This window comes from Homo sapiens, chromosome 11 (genome assembly GCF_000001405.40).
Source record: "Homo sapiens chromosome 11, GRCh38.p14 Primary Assembly".
NCBI classification, from domain to species: domain Eukaryota; kingdom Metazoa; phylum Chordata; class Mammalia; order Primates; family Hominidae; genus Homo; species Homo sapiens.
In genome coordinates, this window is record NC_000011.10 from 118,087,708 (window position 1) to 118,103,938 (window position 16,231).

The following is a 16,231-nucleotide window of genomic DNA, read 5'->3' on the forward strand; positions in this document are numbered from 1 at the left end:
CTTAAGATGTCTGTTTGCTTTTTGGAGCTGAGCTAAGCCCAACCAGGAGGTTCCCCATGATCTAAAACAGTGGTAGGGGTGGGGAATAGGAATAAAGGAAGAAGAGGCAGGTGAGAAAGGTGGGAACTTATGGAAGAAAGGGAAGAACAAATGCTAATATCAATAAAGCCCCTCCTGGGAACCAAGCCCTGCAATAGGCCCCTTTCCCAACATGCTCTTTGAGGTCTCTTGACCGCATTCATGGATGATATGGCAGAGCCCAGAACTGAGCAAAGTCACTCTACCTTCACACCGAGGAAGAGCTGGAGAGATGCTGGGGGCAATCTCTGCATGATGACTGCATGCTGGTTATATCCAACAAGGCTGCATTGCAAGGGAGGAGTGATTCAAAAGGACCCAGCACCAGCTAATGACTGTTACCGAAATGAGTTCCTGAAACCATGGGGAAATGAAATCAACAGTCCACCAAGTCCAGAAACCCGGCCCAAAGGGCTAGATCTGTTCCTTACTTGCTCCGAAGCCATAGCAGCTGCCTTTTCTGTAAAATGGGGACAATTTCTCAGGGTTGTTCCATGGATTATATAGGACAGCATTTATGAAAGAAAGACATCGTAAATTATATAATAATACTCAACTGCAATAACTAATGGTTCTGCCTCCATATTTGGGTCTTGGATTAATGTCTTCCTCTGCCGGTGACAAACCGAGAAGCAGGAAAAGAAGATTCTCTGAGTTGATCAGGCAATGGCAGGTTTTCCAGTGATTGAACACCCACCCACTTCCACCTCCCCACCTCACCCGCTACCTGGGCCCTGGGGGCCTGGGCATTCTTGCCCTTCCACTGTACTGCACACAGCAGGAGCTTCATTCCCGGATGAGCCCCAGGTCAGACACTGGCTGGGCTGGACCCATGAGTCAGGGCTCTGCGGCAGACTGAATCAACAGAGAAGACAGGCCTGGCCCAGCCAGTGGCCCAAACAGAAAGGGAAAGGCCAATGCCTTTGCTTGGTCTGGGCTGGGCCGGGGCTGTAACAGTTGTAGGCAGAAGCTGAGTTCAAGCTGGGGGTAAATAAATACATCTCCAGCAAAGCAGAAGGAAGCACATGTGTTGTTTGGTGACCTCTCAACTTCCTCCTTCCCTCTATTAACTCCAGGTTAAGACAATTCTATCCGACCTCTGTTTTCTCATCTGAAAATAAGGAAGTTGCCTTGTTTCAGCTTTGCATCTTCTGATCATGGCGGGGACCCACCATGGTGATGGGGTCTGGCTGGATCTCTGAATTTTACCTGGTACCCACATCTCTCAGACCCATTCTCTCCTTTCCTTAGCTCAGGATTGTTGCTTCTGGGCTCAGAGGAGATGCAGCTGGCCATAAGTCCCTATTTCTATCCTGCTCAGGGATGTCATCGACATTGATGGCCCCCAGTTGACACTCACAGGCCTAAAATGCACCTACCTCCCTGCCCATGAGCCCCAGTACTCGTGACCTTCTGCAGCTCCTCTTCCAAAGGTGTATCTGTCCATCAGCTCTGACCTGTCTGTGTCACAGATATTTGCCAAAGAGCTTCAAGAAAAGCCAAAGAATGAGCTACTCATGGGGAAACTCAGGCAGCACAACAGTAAGGGCAGAGCATGGTGAGGACATGAGTTTGACCTCCTCAAGCCACTCAGCATAGCCAGGTGATGGCTTTTTTATGTTTTCCTTGAGCCTTGGGTGCATAGCATTGGGGGAACTAGAATCCTTGCTTCATGACTTTTTTCACTATTGGTCCATGCAGGGCCCATTTGTAACTTGCTAGTTAGTTGGATTTAACAATGTAATAAGCCTCCATAAACCCATCATCCCCAACAAAAGCTGGACTTAATAGTAACCTACATCTAACCATGAGGTTCCCACTCCTGCACACACATATCCATCCCTCTCCTGAGGTGGGTAGAGCAAGTGTCTTTCGTTTATTAATTCGACAAATATTGGCTATACATATTTGATAGGCAGGGACTGTACTACAAGCTCCCTGCCCAAGTAAGTTCTTCCCAAACCCCATATTCATCATTCCCTTGCTTCTCTATAGAAAAGATTCTGTGCTATATGTAATCTTTTGGGACTAAGTTTTTCCCTTAATATTACATTCTAATATCATCCTTATTATTATTTTGAGATGGAGTGTTGCTCTGTCCCCCAGGCTGGAGTGCTGTGGCACCATCTCACTCACTGCAACCTCCCCTCCCGGGTTCAAGGGATTCTCCTGCCTCAGCCTTCTGAGTAGCTGGGATTACAGGCGCGTGCCACCACACCTGGCTAATCTTTGTATTTTTAGTAGAGACAGGGTTTCACCATGTTGGCCAGGCTGGTCTCGAACTCCTGACGTCAGATCCACCCGCCTCAGCCTCCCAAAGTGCTGGGATTACAGGTGTAAGCCACCGTACCTGGCCCCATCCATATTATTTTGTGTCACTACAGTTCATTTGTTTTGACTGCAGCCTAATATGTCACTGTGTGAATATACCAGTCAGGTTCGTAAAGACTGAGCTGAGGCTGAGTCCTCAAACTGAGATATTTTCATTAATTCTTTCATTCAACAAATATTTTTTCAATACTCATTATGTACTGTGCATTGTAGGAGACATCAGGGATATCACAGTTAACAAGATAGTCACAGTCCCTGTCATTCTAGCTTACGGTTTTGCTTTAGTTTATTTTTTCTTTCTCTCTTTTGGTTTCAAACAGGGATAGAATTTTTTTCCACAACTACTACTCAGTGAATAGCAATTGAAAACATATTAAGAGCCAGGCATTGTGGCTCACACCTGTAATCCCAGAACTTTGGGAGGCTGCGGTGGGCAGATCATTTGAGTCCAGGAGTTCGAGACCAGCCTGGGCAATACAGTGATACCTCATCTCTACGAAAAAAAAAAAAAAATAGCTGGGCGTGATGGTGCATGCCTGTAGTCCCAGCTACTCAGGAGACTGAGGTGGGAGGAGCCCTTGAGCGCAGGAGGTGGAGGCTGCAGTGAGCTGAAATCACAACATTGCACTTCAGCCTGGGCGACAGAATGAGACTCTGTCTCTCTCTCTTTCTTTCTCTCTCACTCTGTCACACACACACACACAAACACACACACACACACACACACACACAAAATTAGCCACTGTTCAGTTCAGTGATGAGGAATCCAAGGCCCCAGAAAGTGCAGAATATAAGCCTCCTTTGTGCCTCAGCTTCTAGCACTATTCCGGGTCCATCAAAGTTGTATAGTCAATATTTGTTAAATTAACAATAAACAAAAGAAACTTGCCCTACCTACCTCAATGAATGCAGGCATGCATGCACAGGTAGACTCAGTGGAAAAGAATGAATTGACAGGAAAGGGCCCACTTCCCTGCTCCACCAACCACTCTTATAGCCTCCCACAGCTCAGCAAGCACCCTCTCACCCACGTAACTAAAACCCAAGCACACCCAATCCATCGGCGAGGCCTATTGTTTGTATCTTCCAAACACATTTGGCGTCTTTTTACCACCAACCTCCTCTCTCCTTATGCCCTTGCCTTGCTCCAGCCATGCCCATCTCTATTCAGTTCCTCCAACCCCCCAAGCTTGTTCCTTCCCACTTGGCTCCTTCTTGTCACCTCCTCTAGGGAGACCAGCAAGATCCTCCGTAACCATCCTGAGCCCCTCCCTAGAGCTCCCATTCTCAGTCTGCATCCAGGCGCTGTCTCCTCTCACCCTGGATTACTCCCTGCATAGCACCTACCCCTCTCTGATCTTTTCTGGTTTATCTGTTTATGGCCTGTCCTCCCCCTTCCCCTAGCCCTCCTCTCCACCAAGAAACAAGCTTCTTGGGGACAGACCCTCGGCTGTCTTCTTTGGGCACTATTTTCCCCATCTTGCTGGGATGATTTCTTGATCTGTCTTTGAATCCTCCTGGAGTAGTGCCTGGTACAATGTAGATGCTTTACAAGCATTTGTTTAGTTTAATAATTAATTCTTTAATGCTGCCCATCCTGGTTGGCAGACAATTGATATCGACTTGACTAGACAAGAGTTAGATGAAAGGACTTTGTAAACTGTTACATGCCAGTTGGGTGTGAATTACTGTTGACGTTATCCTAACTTGACTCTAGCTGCAACAATGCAGAGTCGTCCGATTGGGTCTCATCTTCAGCCTGGAAAGAGTCTGCTCTATCCAGCCCTGGTGATGGTGGAGGAGAGACGGCCGGGAATGAACTACAATGCAGAGCTCAAAGTTCAGTCCAGTTCACAGTCATTTATTAAGTTTTTACTAGGTACTAGCCTGGTGCTAAACAGCAAGGGTACAAAGGCAATGAGAAAGAGTGGCTAATTAAAAATAAAATGTTAAATTTAAAAAAGCAACCAAAAAGAAAGAAAAAAGGAAAGGAAACGCTGACCACCCTATGAGAGAAGCCCTGTGATAAACACCTGTACCAAATGCTACAGAAGTGCAGAGGATGGTGTAACCGCCCAAGGGGTTCACCTTGCCCGCTGCCTAGACAAAACCAATTCATCAAGACAGGGGAATTGAAATAGAGAAAGAGTAATTCACGCAGAGCCAGCTGTGTGGGAGACTGGAGTTTTATTAGTACTCAAATCAATCTCCCCAAGCATTCAGGGAGCAGAGTTTTTAAGGATAACTTGGTGGGTGGGGGGAAGCCAGTGAGCCAGGAATGCTGATTGGTCAGGGATGAAATCATATAGAGTTGGAGCTGTCTTCTTGCGCTCAGTCAGTTCCTGGGCGGGGGCCGCCAGATCAGATGAGGCAGTTTATTGATCTGGGTGGTGCCAGCTGATCCGTCAGGTGCAGGGTCTGCAAAATATCTCAAGCCCTGATCTTAGAAGCAGTTTGGGGAGGGTCAGAATCTTGTAACCTCCAGCTGCATGACTCCTAAACCATAATTTCTAATCTTGGGGCTAACGTTAGTCTAGTCCCCAGACAAGAAGGCAGTCTGCTCTGGGAAAGAGCTGTTACCAACTTTGTTTAAACTATAAACTAAGTTTCTCCCAAAGTTAGTTCTGCCTACCCCTAGGAATGAACAAGGACAGTTTGGAGGTTAGAAGCAAGATGGAGTCGCTAAGTTAGATCTCTTTCACTGTCTCAGTCATCATTTTGCCAAGGCAGTTTCAATGGGAGGGCAGAGGAAAGAGAGTTCCCATGTGAGAGCCCAGCATTTCCCACCAGACAACTCATGTAAACCTCACAGTAGTCTTTTGAAGCAGGTTTTATTGTCCCCACTCTACAGAGGGTAAGCCTGGAGCTCAGAGAGGTGAAGGATCTTTCCTGAAAGCACACAGTTAATAGGAGGCCGGTCTTGTATTCTGACTCGACCCCTGCAGACTGCAGAACCAGGCTGTGTGCTACATCACAAGGCCACCCATGGCCTAGTGTTACCCAAGGGCAAGGCCAGGCATGTCCCTCCATCAGACTACAGGCTCGTTTGGGAGGGAACGAAAGAGCTCCTTCCTATTGCTGTGTCCACCGTGCTTAGCCGTGGAGCAAGCAACACCCAGGGACCCTCCCTCCATATCTAATCTGGGTCACCCACTCAGGGATTAAAAGAGGCCCTCTCACTCCCAAGAGGAACAGAAAAAATTTCCAGCCAGAAATGTACAAGGTCCTGTGACTCCTTCAACCACCACCAAGGTGGGTCATGACCTCAGCACAATAGGGCAGGCGAGTCCCTGGGTGGAGACCTAGACCACAGGGTTCAGAGGGCATAAACCCAGACAGCATGCTCCTTTTAACCTTTGCCTGGCAGAAAGGGCCTGCATTTTTTTGTATGTGAGCCTTTGTGTCAGTGGCTCCTCCATGTGACTCTGTGGCTGTGTGCGTGCTGAGTGCACACATGAAGTGGTGTAAATAGAAATGCCTTTGCGTGTATTTGTGCACATGCGTCGACGGCAGCCTAAGACCACTCTCTCAGAAATATCATAATGTTGATAGCACATATGTAGTAAAGTACTCAAGTCTAAAGTCTACCACCCAGTGAATTTTTGCACATATAAACACCTATGTAACCAATGTTGAAAACAAGATCCAGAAGTTTTCCTATGTTCCAGAAGACTCCACTGTGTTCCTTCCAATAACTAACTGCCCCCCCCAATGGTAACCACTATTCTGACTTCTATCACTATAGATTAACCTTGCCTTTTAAACTTTATATAAGTGAAATCGTACTTTTTGTGACTATTTTCTTCCCTTCATCATTATGTCCATGGAATTCATCCATGTCATTGCACTGAGAATGTTTATTCTTGTCTATTGCTGAATTATATTCTATTATATGAAAATACCAGTTTATCCACTCTACCAGTGACTGACGTTTGGGTTTTTCCAATGTTTAGCTATTACTAATGAAGCGACTATAAACTTTCACACACAGGTTTTTTGCTGGACATTTGTACTCATTTCTCTTGGCTCTATCCTGGAGCACAATTGCTGGGTCAGAGAATCATAAAATACTTGTACGTTTAGCATTAGTGGATTCAGCCAAACCATTTTCCAAAGTATTTGTACCACTTTACACTCCCACCAACAAGGTCTGAGAGGTCTTGTTGCTCCACATCATCATCAACACAGTATTATTAGTCTTTTAAATTTTAGCCATTTAGTATTTATGTAGAGAAATTTTATTGTGGTTTGAATTTGCATTTGCCTGATAAGTAATGATATTAAGCATTGTTTGGTACTTATTGGCCAGTTGAGTATTCCTTTTTGTAAGATGTCTATTCAGAGTTTTTACAGAAATATAGTATCTGTAAACATAGACAAATTATTGACAAAAACAGATAGTAGAGCAGAATCATCTTGAGGAATTCAGCAATTTACACAAAAACCAGCAGCCAGTTGCTTCTACAATTGCTAACCAGTTGCTACTAGTTAAGTAAACTAATAAGTAAACTAATTGAAACAGATCAAACAGGTGCATGACTGAATGTTTCCTGTTGAACCAGGTATTTGGATAACACAGAGACCCCCAACGTAGACTCAGGGAGAAGGGAATGTAGACAAGACCCAAGAACCTCCCGTAGGCTGCTAGCCCCAGCCTGAGAGGCTCCCTGCCTCAACTCACTGACTGTTTTTCCTTCAATTACAGGATCCTGACAGTGATCAACCTCTGAACAGCCTCGGTAAGTTCAGGTCCGGCTTTCATTCGTCCACCTTAGCCTCTGAGTTTCAGCTACCAAGTAGATCCTAAGCCACTCGCGCCTGGCCCTCACCACCACCACCAAAGTGCTAAGTGCCATGAGTGACATCCAGTCACCCGTCCATCCATCACTCAGCAAACATTCCAGGATTCATTCCAGAAGTAGGAGGCCTGGACTCTGGGGAAACAGGACCAACAAACCTAAAATCCCCAAAGCAATGATTCTCCAATTCATTCATTCAGTCACTCTTATCCTTTCAGTAAAACTGTACGTACCTGCCATGTGCCAGGCCCTAGGCTGGATGCTGGGCTATAACACTAATTAAGACAGCTGAAGTCCCTGGTGTCATGGAGTTCACATTGGCCAGAGGCATTTTCATGAAAAATGGCAGTGCTTGCCTGATTTCCAAGGGAAGAAAACTAAGTTAATAAATAGAATGATCCCAAATTTAAGGAGGTATTTTTCTTCCATTACATTTTCTTAAACCATTAATATCTACTCCTGATAGCCTACTGGATCAGCAAAACAAATGAGCAAGGAACACGTTAATATGAACAGATCAGTAAGAAAATGGCCAATCCTGCTTGACGGGCTATGTATTTCTCAGTTCTGGGTCATGAGTTAATAATGACCACAAATGAAGTAATCTTTAGCAAGTAAAATGGTGCCTAGTTTATACTTTGGAATTCAATATAAGAGTAGGCCATGGTGTCCCCAAGGAACACCAGGGTGCCAACTGCTCCGCCACCTGAGCAAGCCTGAGAACTCTCAAACCAGAAAACAAGCTGAATTTGCTCGAGGACCAGGGAGTGAACGTGACTATGCAGAACTGGGGTTGGTGAAGACTAGCAGTGGAAGTCCATTTGGCTCAGAGAAAGAGGCCAAATTACACTGGCTTTGAAAGATATAATCCAGATGTGGAAGTCTCTTGTAGGCCCTCGAGTAAGAAGTGACAGGATGAAAGCAAGCTTTTAGGAAGCTCTGTCTAGCTGCAGTGGGCAGGACAGGCTGGAGGGAGGAACAACAGCCGGCAAGGAGGCTGTTCATAGCTCACTGGGTTCGTTAACTTAAACTAGGTATGAAAGCTCGTTCCTTCCTGATGGGGGAAGCAGATGCTCCCTGAGAATGTCTGGTCTTGGACACAGGAACCCATGGCTCCCCATGGGTCACTCACTCTTGGAGAAAACAAACAAATCTCATGTTCCCAGAGGTAGATGCTCAATAAATAAATCATGCATGAATTCATGAACAAAATGTCATCATGGCCATGGCCACAGGAAAGAGGACAATTCTGAAGACTGGCTGCTGGAACTTTAAAAACAGTATTGGCAAACATTACTGATAAGCTACTTTGTGCCAGGTCATAGTTCACAGGCAATACCATTCCAGTCCACATCCCCACTGCGTGGCCTCTGTGTCTGAAGTTAAAACATTCTTTTGGGGAAACACAAAGTGTCCTAAGCTTTCCTTTGTTAACAGATTCATTAATACTAGCATTCATTGGGCGCCAATCTCTAGCAGGATGCCATTCTCCACTTTGGAAGAGCTGAGGAAAGAAATAGAGTCAGACATATGATTAGCCATCATTCAAGGCAGAATAAAATGTGACCTGTAAGAAAGGTAGAAGGGGCCGGGCATGGTGGCTTATGCCAGTAATCCTAGAACTTTGGGAGGCCAAGGTGGGGGTGGATCACTTGAGCCCAGGAGTTTGAGACCTGTCTGGGTAACATGGCAAAACCCCATCTCTACAAAAAATACCAACGTTAACTGGGTGTTGTGGCACATGCCTGTAGTCCCAGCTACTTGGGAGGATAAGGTAAAAGGATGGCTTGAGCCCAGGAGGTGGAAGTTGCAGTGAACCAAGATCATGCCACTGCCACTGCACTCCAGCCTGGGCAGCAGATTCCATGAATGAAAGGGAGAGAGAGAGGAGAGAAAAAAGAAAGAAAGAGAGAAAGAAAGAAGGAAAGAAGGAAAGAAAGAAAGAAAGAAAGAAAGAAAGAAAGAAAGAAAGAAAGAAAGAAAGAAAGAAAGAAAGGGAGAGAGAAAGGAAAGAAAGAAAGAGAAAGAAAGAAAGGAAGGAAAGAAAGAAAGGAAAGAAAGAAAGAAAGAAAGAAAGAAAGAAAGAAAGAAAGAAAGAAAGAAAGAAAGAAAGAAAGAAAAGGAAAGAAAGGAAAGGAAAGGAAAGGAAAGGAGGTAGTAGAAGGGACGTACTTAAGAGAGCAGAGCCAAGAACAATTCATCTGTTCAGGTGACAAATATTTGTTGAGCAATTGCTGTGGACCAAGCACTGTTCTAGGCACCAGGGACTTAGCAGTGAACAAAACAGACAAGTTCTGTCTTCAACGAGTCTTCATTTCATGGAGGGGCGGGAGGAGACAGAAAATATACAAAATAAGTCAAATATAGAGTTTGTTAGAGGTGATGCGTGCTTTGGAAGAAAAAAAAAGCAAGAAAGGAGGATAGGAAAGGTTGGAAGGCTGCATTTTAAATAGGGAGATCCAGGAAGGCCTCACTGTGAAGGTGACAGTGAAGAAAGACTGGGAGGAGGACAGGGAGCCAGTCATGTGGAGGTGAGGGTAGGAGAGCCGGTCCGTTGCTTTCCAGGGTTTCCAGAATTCTTGCCCCATCTCCCCCAGGGCAGAAGTCCCCATGGCACCTCCCCAGCTTATTTCCCACAAGGAGTGGGGGACTTAAAAGAATGTATCTCTGATACTTACTGATATTAACTTTGCCTATGTTTTCCCTTTCCCAGGTTCCTTCTCCTTGGATAACCATGTGCAATTGACAATGTAGTTATTATCACCTCTGTTCTAGGCAGTGATAAGCTCCTACCTGGTCTCCCTAACCCCAGACTCTTTTGTTCCAATCCACCTCCTCCCTGATGAAAGATCCATCTTTCTTTTTGTTTTTTGAGGTGGAGTCTTGCTCTTGTCGCCCAGGCTGTAGTACAATGGCACAATCTCAGCTCACTGCAACCTCCGTCTCCTGGGTTCAAGTGATTCTCCTGCCTCCGTCTTCCAAGTAGCTGGGATTACAGGCATGCACCACCATGCTGGCTAATTTTTGTATGTTTAGTAGAGACAGGGTTTCACCATGTTGGCCAGGCTGGTCTTGAACTCCTGACCTCAGGTGATCCACCCACCTCGGCCTCCCAAAGTGCTGGGATTACAGGCGTGAGCCACCGCACTGGACCAGATCCATCTTCCTAAAATTAATTTGATCCTGTCTCTCCACTGTTCAAAAACTTTCAATGGCTCCTCACTGCCTTCAGGATAAAACCCAGGCTCCTTAGCATAATGTTCAAGAGTCTCCACAGCTGCCTTCACCCATCCTGCCTTCCAACTTGCCTTTATTCCCCTGGTACCCCAGGCACACCAGGCAGCCTACAGGCACCCTCCGTGCCTCCGACAGAGCTGAGCCAGTGCCTCCCTCCCAAACTGCATTTAAGTGCCACCTGCTGAGGGAGGCTTTCACCAGCTTACCTTTGAAGATGTCTCTATTATAACATATATTATCTTCCACCTGGCTGGGCTGGCATCTGTGTCTGCCTCTTCCCCCAGATGGTAATCTCTTTAAAGACAAGGACCAGGCTAGGGACTTGCTGTTTGTGGGATTGAGGATGCATTGATTCACAAGTATTTATTAAGCCTCTACTAAGCACACACTGTGCTGGAGGCCCCTGCCTCCCTGATGCTTAATGTTTAATCAAAAGCTAAGTCAGGAGGTCAGGAAAAGGATAAATGGTGGCACAGTGAATGGGTACGTGCCCCAGGGGCTCAGGCCTCTCTCGGGCAGGCGAGGGTCAGACAAAACCCAGAAATGTCCTAGGACAGGCTCAGGCAAGACACGGGGGAGGTGGCCTGACCTGGGGGCTCCTTTGAGCGGCACTCAGGAAAGATAGGTGAGCCTGGATAAGTAAGAAGAGGCAGGGTAACCACGTGCTGTTGAAGCTAAGCCTAGTCTGCAGGAATAACCCCCCAGCATTAACCAAAACTGTGCTCAAGGCATACCTGTCACCGGCCAGAAGGCAGGAGGCTGTGGAGTTTGGCTCAGGGATCACCAAGTGCTGACTGCATGCTCTTCCCCTCTGCCTCCCATTTTCTTGCAGATGTCAAACCCCTGCGCAAACCCCGTATCCCCATGGAGACCTTCAGAAAGGTGGGGATCCCCATCATCATAGCACTACTGAGCCTGGCGAGTATCATCATTGTGGTTGTCCTCAGTAAGTGACAGCCCGTACCCGACTTTCACCCTCTAAGTAAATGACAGGGCCCAACCCCCACCCCCGCACTCACCCCTGAATAAGTGACAGTCCCCCACCCCTGCCCTCACCCCCTCAGTAAGAGGCAGTCCCACCCCTGCCCTCACCCACTCAGTAAGTGGCAGCCCCGCCCCTCCCATTATCACCTCAGTAAGTGGCAGCCCCTACTTGTCCTTCACCCCCTCAGTAAGTGGCAGCCCCCACCCCCACAGTCAGGGGCAGGTGATCTGCATAAAGCTTTGCAGAAAAAATCATTGGTATAATAAAAGGAATTTGAGGAGAAAAAAACAGAGAGAGAAAAAGAAAGAAGAGAGAAAGAGAGAAAGAAAGAAAGAAAGAAAGAAAAAGAAAGAAAGAAAGAAAGACATGTATCCACCCCCTGCTTTGAAGAGAGCCTTCTTCTAAAAGTGAAAGGGGAGATGAACTCAGCCCCCATCTGTTCCAGACGGCTTCTATCCCAGGTGACTTCTTCTAGAGGGAGAGCACAGTGGCATATGTTCCTAACCCACACATGCAATTTGCAGGGCTGCCACGCCCCCTGCCCCCTCCTTCCCATCTTCTGCAGATTGCAAGCTGAGTGGCTCTGAGCAGCGGCTGGAAGAACAGGGCGAGTTTCTGCTTGTGAGGAGGGGAGAAAGAGGAGGCAGCAGGGAAGACCCCCCAGGCAGTTGGCACCTGGCCCCCTTCAGCTTGGCCTTCACCATGGCCAGTACCTGAGGCCCAGTGTGGTCTTGAGCAGGCCTCTCTGCCTCAGGCCCTTATCTGTGATAAAGAAGATTCAACTGAAGGAGCAGGGATGTGGGTCCTTTTTGGCTCCCACATCCTATGATGGAGTCGTTGCCTTTGTTATCCACATGAGCACAGCAGGTTACTGACCACAACTTTTCACAGCAAGAAGTAGGGCACTGGGGACCAGACTAGGAATCAGGACACCCGAGACAGGGATTCTGGCTCTGCCTCTTGCTGCTGCGTGACCTTGAGTAAGTCCTTCACTGCCTCATACCCTCAGTCTCCGCACCTGTAAAATGTCCTTCCTCCCTCAGAGCGATATCATGAGCACCAGTGAGATAACACATGTAAAGGACCAAGCTAAAAACCAAGTTTTGCAAAAGAGTGTGTCATCACACAGCAGCAGACAAAATGTGACCCAGGACATGCATTTGCTAATTGGGGCAGGACTGCCTGTGCAGCCAGGGAATAGCTGGCCTTTCAGGAATTTGTACTTGTAACTGTGGTGACATTTCCAGCAGTAGCAGCCAACTGCCTGGTTAGAGGACACTGAGAGAGACTCTGGTCCTCATTCTACATGAGCACTGAGGCTCGGAGAGGAGGAGTGGCAGTCAGGGACAAAGCTGCGACAGAACCCCGGTCCCCTGATTGAACAGGTCCATTTCCATCTCGTGGCGGTGGAAATGCAGAGCCACAACATAAACCCCACTAAAAGCCCTGGGAGCCCTGGATGGTGTGAGATGCAGATGACCCCAAACCCTCTCTCCTTGACCTTGGTTGCCCACATGATGGAGGTTTGCAGTGACATCAGCAGACTTGCCATCCTGTTCTATTCAGGCTAATGTTAAAGTGAGCTTGCTTTCCATAAGCATACACCCTGCCACAGTGGAGATAAAGGGGACCAAAGTTATCCAGCGAAAGCCAAGCAGGCACTAAAGCATAATTCAGAGCTGGACACTCCCTGTCCCAGAAGGTCCTATGTGGCTTCCATATCCTGGGCCCCCAGATTCTGCAATCAGAGGTTGTTACCCAGTCCTCCATCCTGGGCCGGGTTCCCTCAACCTTATGGCTTCTGGAGTCTCAACTGGCAATGCTGTCTCCTGGATTTGTCCCAGGAGGCTGGAGTGACTCTGCCTTACCCTGGCTCCTGATTATAAACCAAACTCCAAAGAGCTAAGTAATATCTAGCTCCTCCTTCTCCCTTGCTTCACTCAAGCCAGGAGTGTCAGGGCCAGCAGATCACATCTCAAGCTTCCCCAGAGAATTAGATGGGCCCTGGCTCTACACTGGAAGCACTGTGTGCCCTGGGAAAATAAAGCCTGACCTTCAATTCTCCACGTCCCTGTTTGTAATGTGAGTTAGTAATAACACTTCCCTCCCAAGACTGTTGTCAGGATTACGTGAGGAAATGTATGGAAAGCTCCTGACACGGTGACAAGCAGGGACCATTATTAGATTTAACGCCACTACTCTTAAGACCAGCCCAGGGTGATACTGGACTGGAGAGGGTCCCATCAGGCCAAGACAGAATTCAGTTAGGAAGGAGGAGTTCCCTCCTGCCAGGGTGTTTGGCTGTGGGTCTTCACTAAGGAAAAGTTTGTTTGTATGTCTGTCTGCTTGTTTGTTTGAGACAAGGTCTTGCTCTCTTTCCCAGGCTAGAGTGTAATCGTGTGATCACCTCACTGCAGCCTCAAACTTCTAGGCTCAAGCAATCCTCCTGCCTCAGCCTCCCAAGTAGCTAGGACCACAGGGGCACACCACCATGCCTGGCTAATTCTTTTTTTAATTTTTCGTATAGACGAGGGTCTCACTATGTTGCCGAGACTGATCTTGAATTCCTGGGCTCAAACAATCCTCCTGCCTTGGCATCCCAAAGTGCTGGGATTACAGGTGTGAACTACCATGCATGGCCAGAAAAAGTGTTAAAATATCAGTTCCCTGAAGGATTAAACACACTCAACATCTTTCCATCATCCCAAAATGGCAAAAGAGCAACAGAATTTGAAAGCAGCTGGCAGAATCTAAAGACGGCGAGCAGAAACAAAACAAAACCGAGGACCAACCCCTTCACAGATCTTTCTCTTTTTTTCTTAATTTTAGTTCTTTTTACTTATATATTTTAATTATTTTTTTCTTCAAATTTTATTCCAAGTTCTGGGGTACACGTGCAGGATGTGCAGGTTTGTTACGTAGGTAAGCGTGTGCCATGGCGGTTTGCTGCACTGATCAACCCTTCACTGAGGTATAAAGCCCAGCAACCATTAGCTATATTTCCTGATGCTCTCCCTCCTCCCGCCTCCCCCCGACAGGCCCCAGTGTGTGTTGATCCCCCTGCACGTGTCCATGTGTTCTTACCATTTAACAGTTCTTTCACCCAGGTAAAAGCACCCAATTCTAGAACTATACTTGATAGTTACGAGACATTTTCATGACTACCATCATACCACATGCTCTCAACAGCCCTGCGAGGCAGATATTATAGATATCATCATCCCATTGTACAGATGAGGAAACTGAGAACTAAGAAGGGAAAGCGATCCATATAAAGTTGCACAGTAAGGCCGAGTGCGGTGGCTCACGCCTGTAATCCCAGCACTTTGGGAGGCCGAGGCGGGTGGATCACCTGAGGTCAGGAGGTCGAGAGCAGCCCAGCCAACATGGTGAAACCCCGTCACTACTAAAAATACAAAAAATTAGCCAAGTGTGGTGGCATGTGCCTGTAATCCCAGCTACTCAGGAGGCTGAGGCAGGAGACTCACTTAAACTTGGGAGGCAGAGGCTACAGTGAGCCAAGATCCCGCCACTGCACTCCAGCCTGGATGACAGAGTGAGACTCGGTCTCAAAAAAAAGAAAAAAGTTAAGTTCCACAGTGGGTGGCAGGGCTAGGACTCAGAACTGGGTCTTCAGACTCCGGGTTCCTCCTCTTTTACCAGTACATACTGAGCGAGCACTGGAGGGTAAGAGGCAGTTACCAGCCTGTTTCTCCCACACACGTGACCTCTCTTGACTCCGCAGACATCTTGTGGGGGTGGGGCCGGTGTTACTATCTCCACTTTACAGACAAGGAAGCTGAGGCTCAGGCCCAAGTCTGTGTGCTACCAAGTAGCAAAACTGAGCCTGGAACTCACACATGCGTGTCTGAGAGCCCAGCACTATCGCCAGGAAAACCCAGCGTCTCCCTGCTCAAGCCTGACCCTCAGCCCTCTCTGCCTCTCCCTGCACTTGCCTTCCAGTCAAGGTGATTCTGGATAAATACTACTTCCTCTGCGGGCAGCCTCTCCACTTCATCCCGAGGAAGCAGCTGTGTGACGGAGAGCTGGACTGTCCCTTGGGGGAGGACGAGGAGCACTGTGTCAAGAGCTTCCCCGAAGGGCCTGCAGTGGCAGGTGAGTGCAGGGTCTGAGGCACAAGAGAAGTGGGCCCAGCAGGAGGTCTGCTCAGGCCCCCACGGCCCACTGCATAGTATCTGCCCCCTACTTGTCACTTTTCATCCTTGTTGTATAAGGTTCTTTGTTTGTTTGTTTGTTGTTGTTTTGAGGCAGAGTGCTCTGTGGCCCAAGATGGAGTGCAGTGTCTTGGTCTCGGCTCACTGCAACCTCTGCCTCCCAGTTTCAAGTGATTCTTCTGCCTCAGCCTCATGAGTAGCTGGGATTACAGGTGCCAGCCACCACGCCTGGCTAATTTTTATATTTTTAGTAGAGACGGGGTTTTGCCACATTGGTCAGGCTGATCTTGAACTCCTGACCTCAGGTGATCTGCCCGCCTCAGCCTCCCAAAGTGCTGGGATTACAGGCGTGAGCCACCGTGCCCAGCTGTGTAAGTTTCTTGAGAGCAGGACCCTGTCTTGTCTACCTTTAAATCCTAGTACTTAACACACAGCAAACAGTAACTATTTGATGACCAAATGTGAGCCAGAAAGGACAGGAAATTGTAACTGAGGCTGCCCCATGCGTGCTGCGCCTGGTGGATTTCAGGCAGAGGGCTAGACTGGGTGACCTTGGGGCATTCCTCCTTTCTATGAAATTTGTTATTTCAAGGAGACTAGAAAAGAGACTTCTCAGCCACTTCGCC

General features: G+C 47.6%; 1 protein-coding gene and 1 long non-coding RNA gene across 21 annotated transcripts in view; one reads left to right on the plus strand and one right to left on the minus strand.

Annotated features, from left to right (window-relative positions):
- TMPRSS4 (transmembrane serine protease 4) overlaps positions 1-16,231 on the plus strand; it is a 48,428-nt gene that overhangs the window by 10,630 nt on the left and 21,567 nt on the right. For 6 of the 16 annotated variants that reach the window (XM_005271613.5, XM_011542901.3, NM_019894.4 and 3 more), the window contains exons 2-4: positions 7,109-7,148; positions 11,278-11,391; positions 15,394-15,546. In XM_005271613.5, coding sequence (XP_005271670.1) covers positions 7,109-7,148; positions 11,278-11,391; positions 15,394-15,546 — 307 coding nt within the window. Of the gene's footprint in view, positions 1-7,108; positions 7,159-11,277; positions 11,392-15,393; positions 15,547-16,231 lie in introns of all 16 variants that reach the window. The other 10 variants (NR_110734.2, XM_005271614.4, XM_047427259.1 and 7 more) reach the window with 5 other exon arrangements.
- LOC105369517 (uncharacterized) lies at positions 4,580-11,271 on the minus strand. Of its 5 annotated transcripts, none has more exons than XR_007062904.1 (4): positions 11,180-11,271; positions 10,652-10,739; positions 7,442-7,564; positions 4,580-4,827 (listed from the first exon to the last, which is right to left on the minus strand). It is a non-coding gene; the product is annotated as an uncharacterized LOC105369517 (long non-coding RNA). The 5 variants fall into 5 exon arrangements; XR_007062901.1 differs by having other exon boundaries at positions 4,580-4,851; XR_007062903.1 differs by having other exon boundaries at positions 4,580-4,851; positions 10,652-10,770.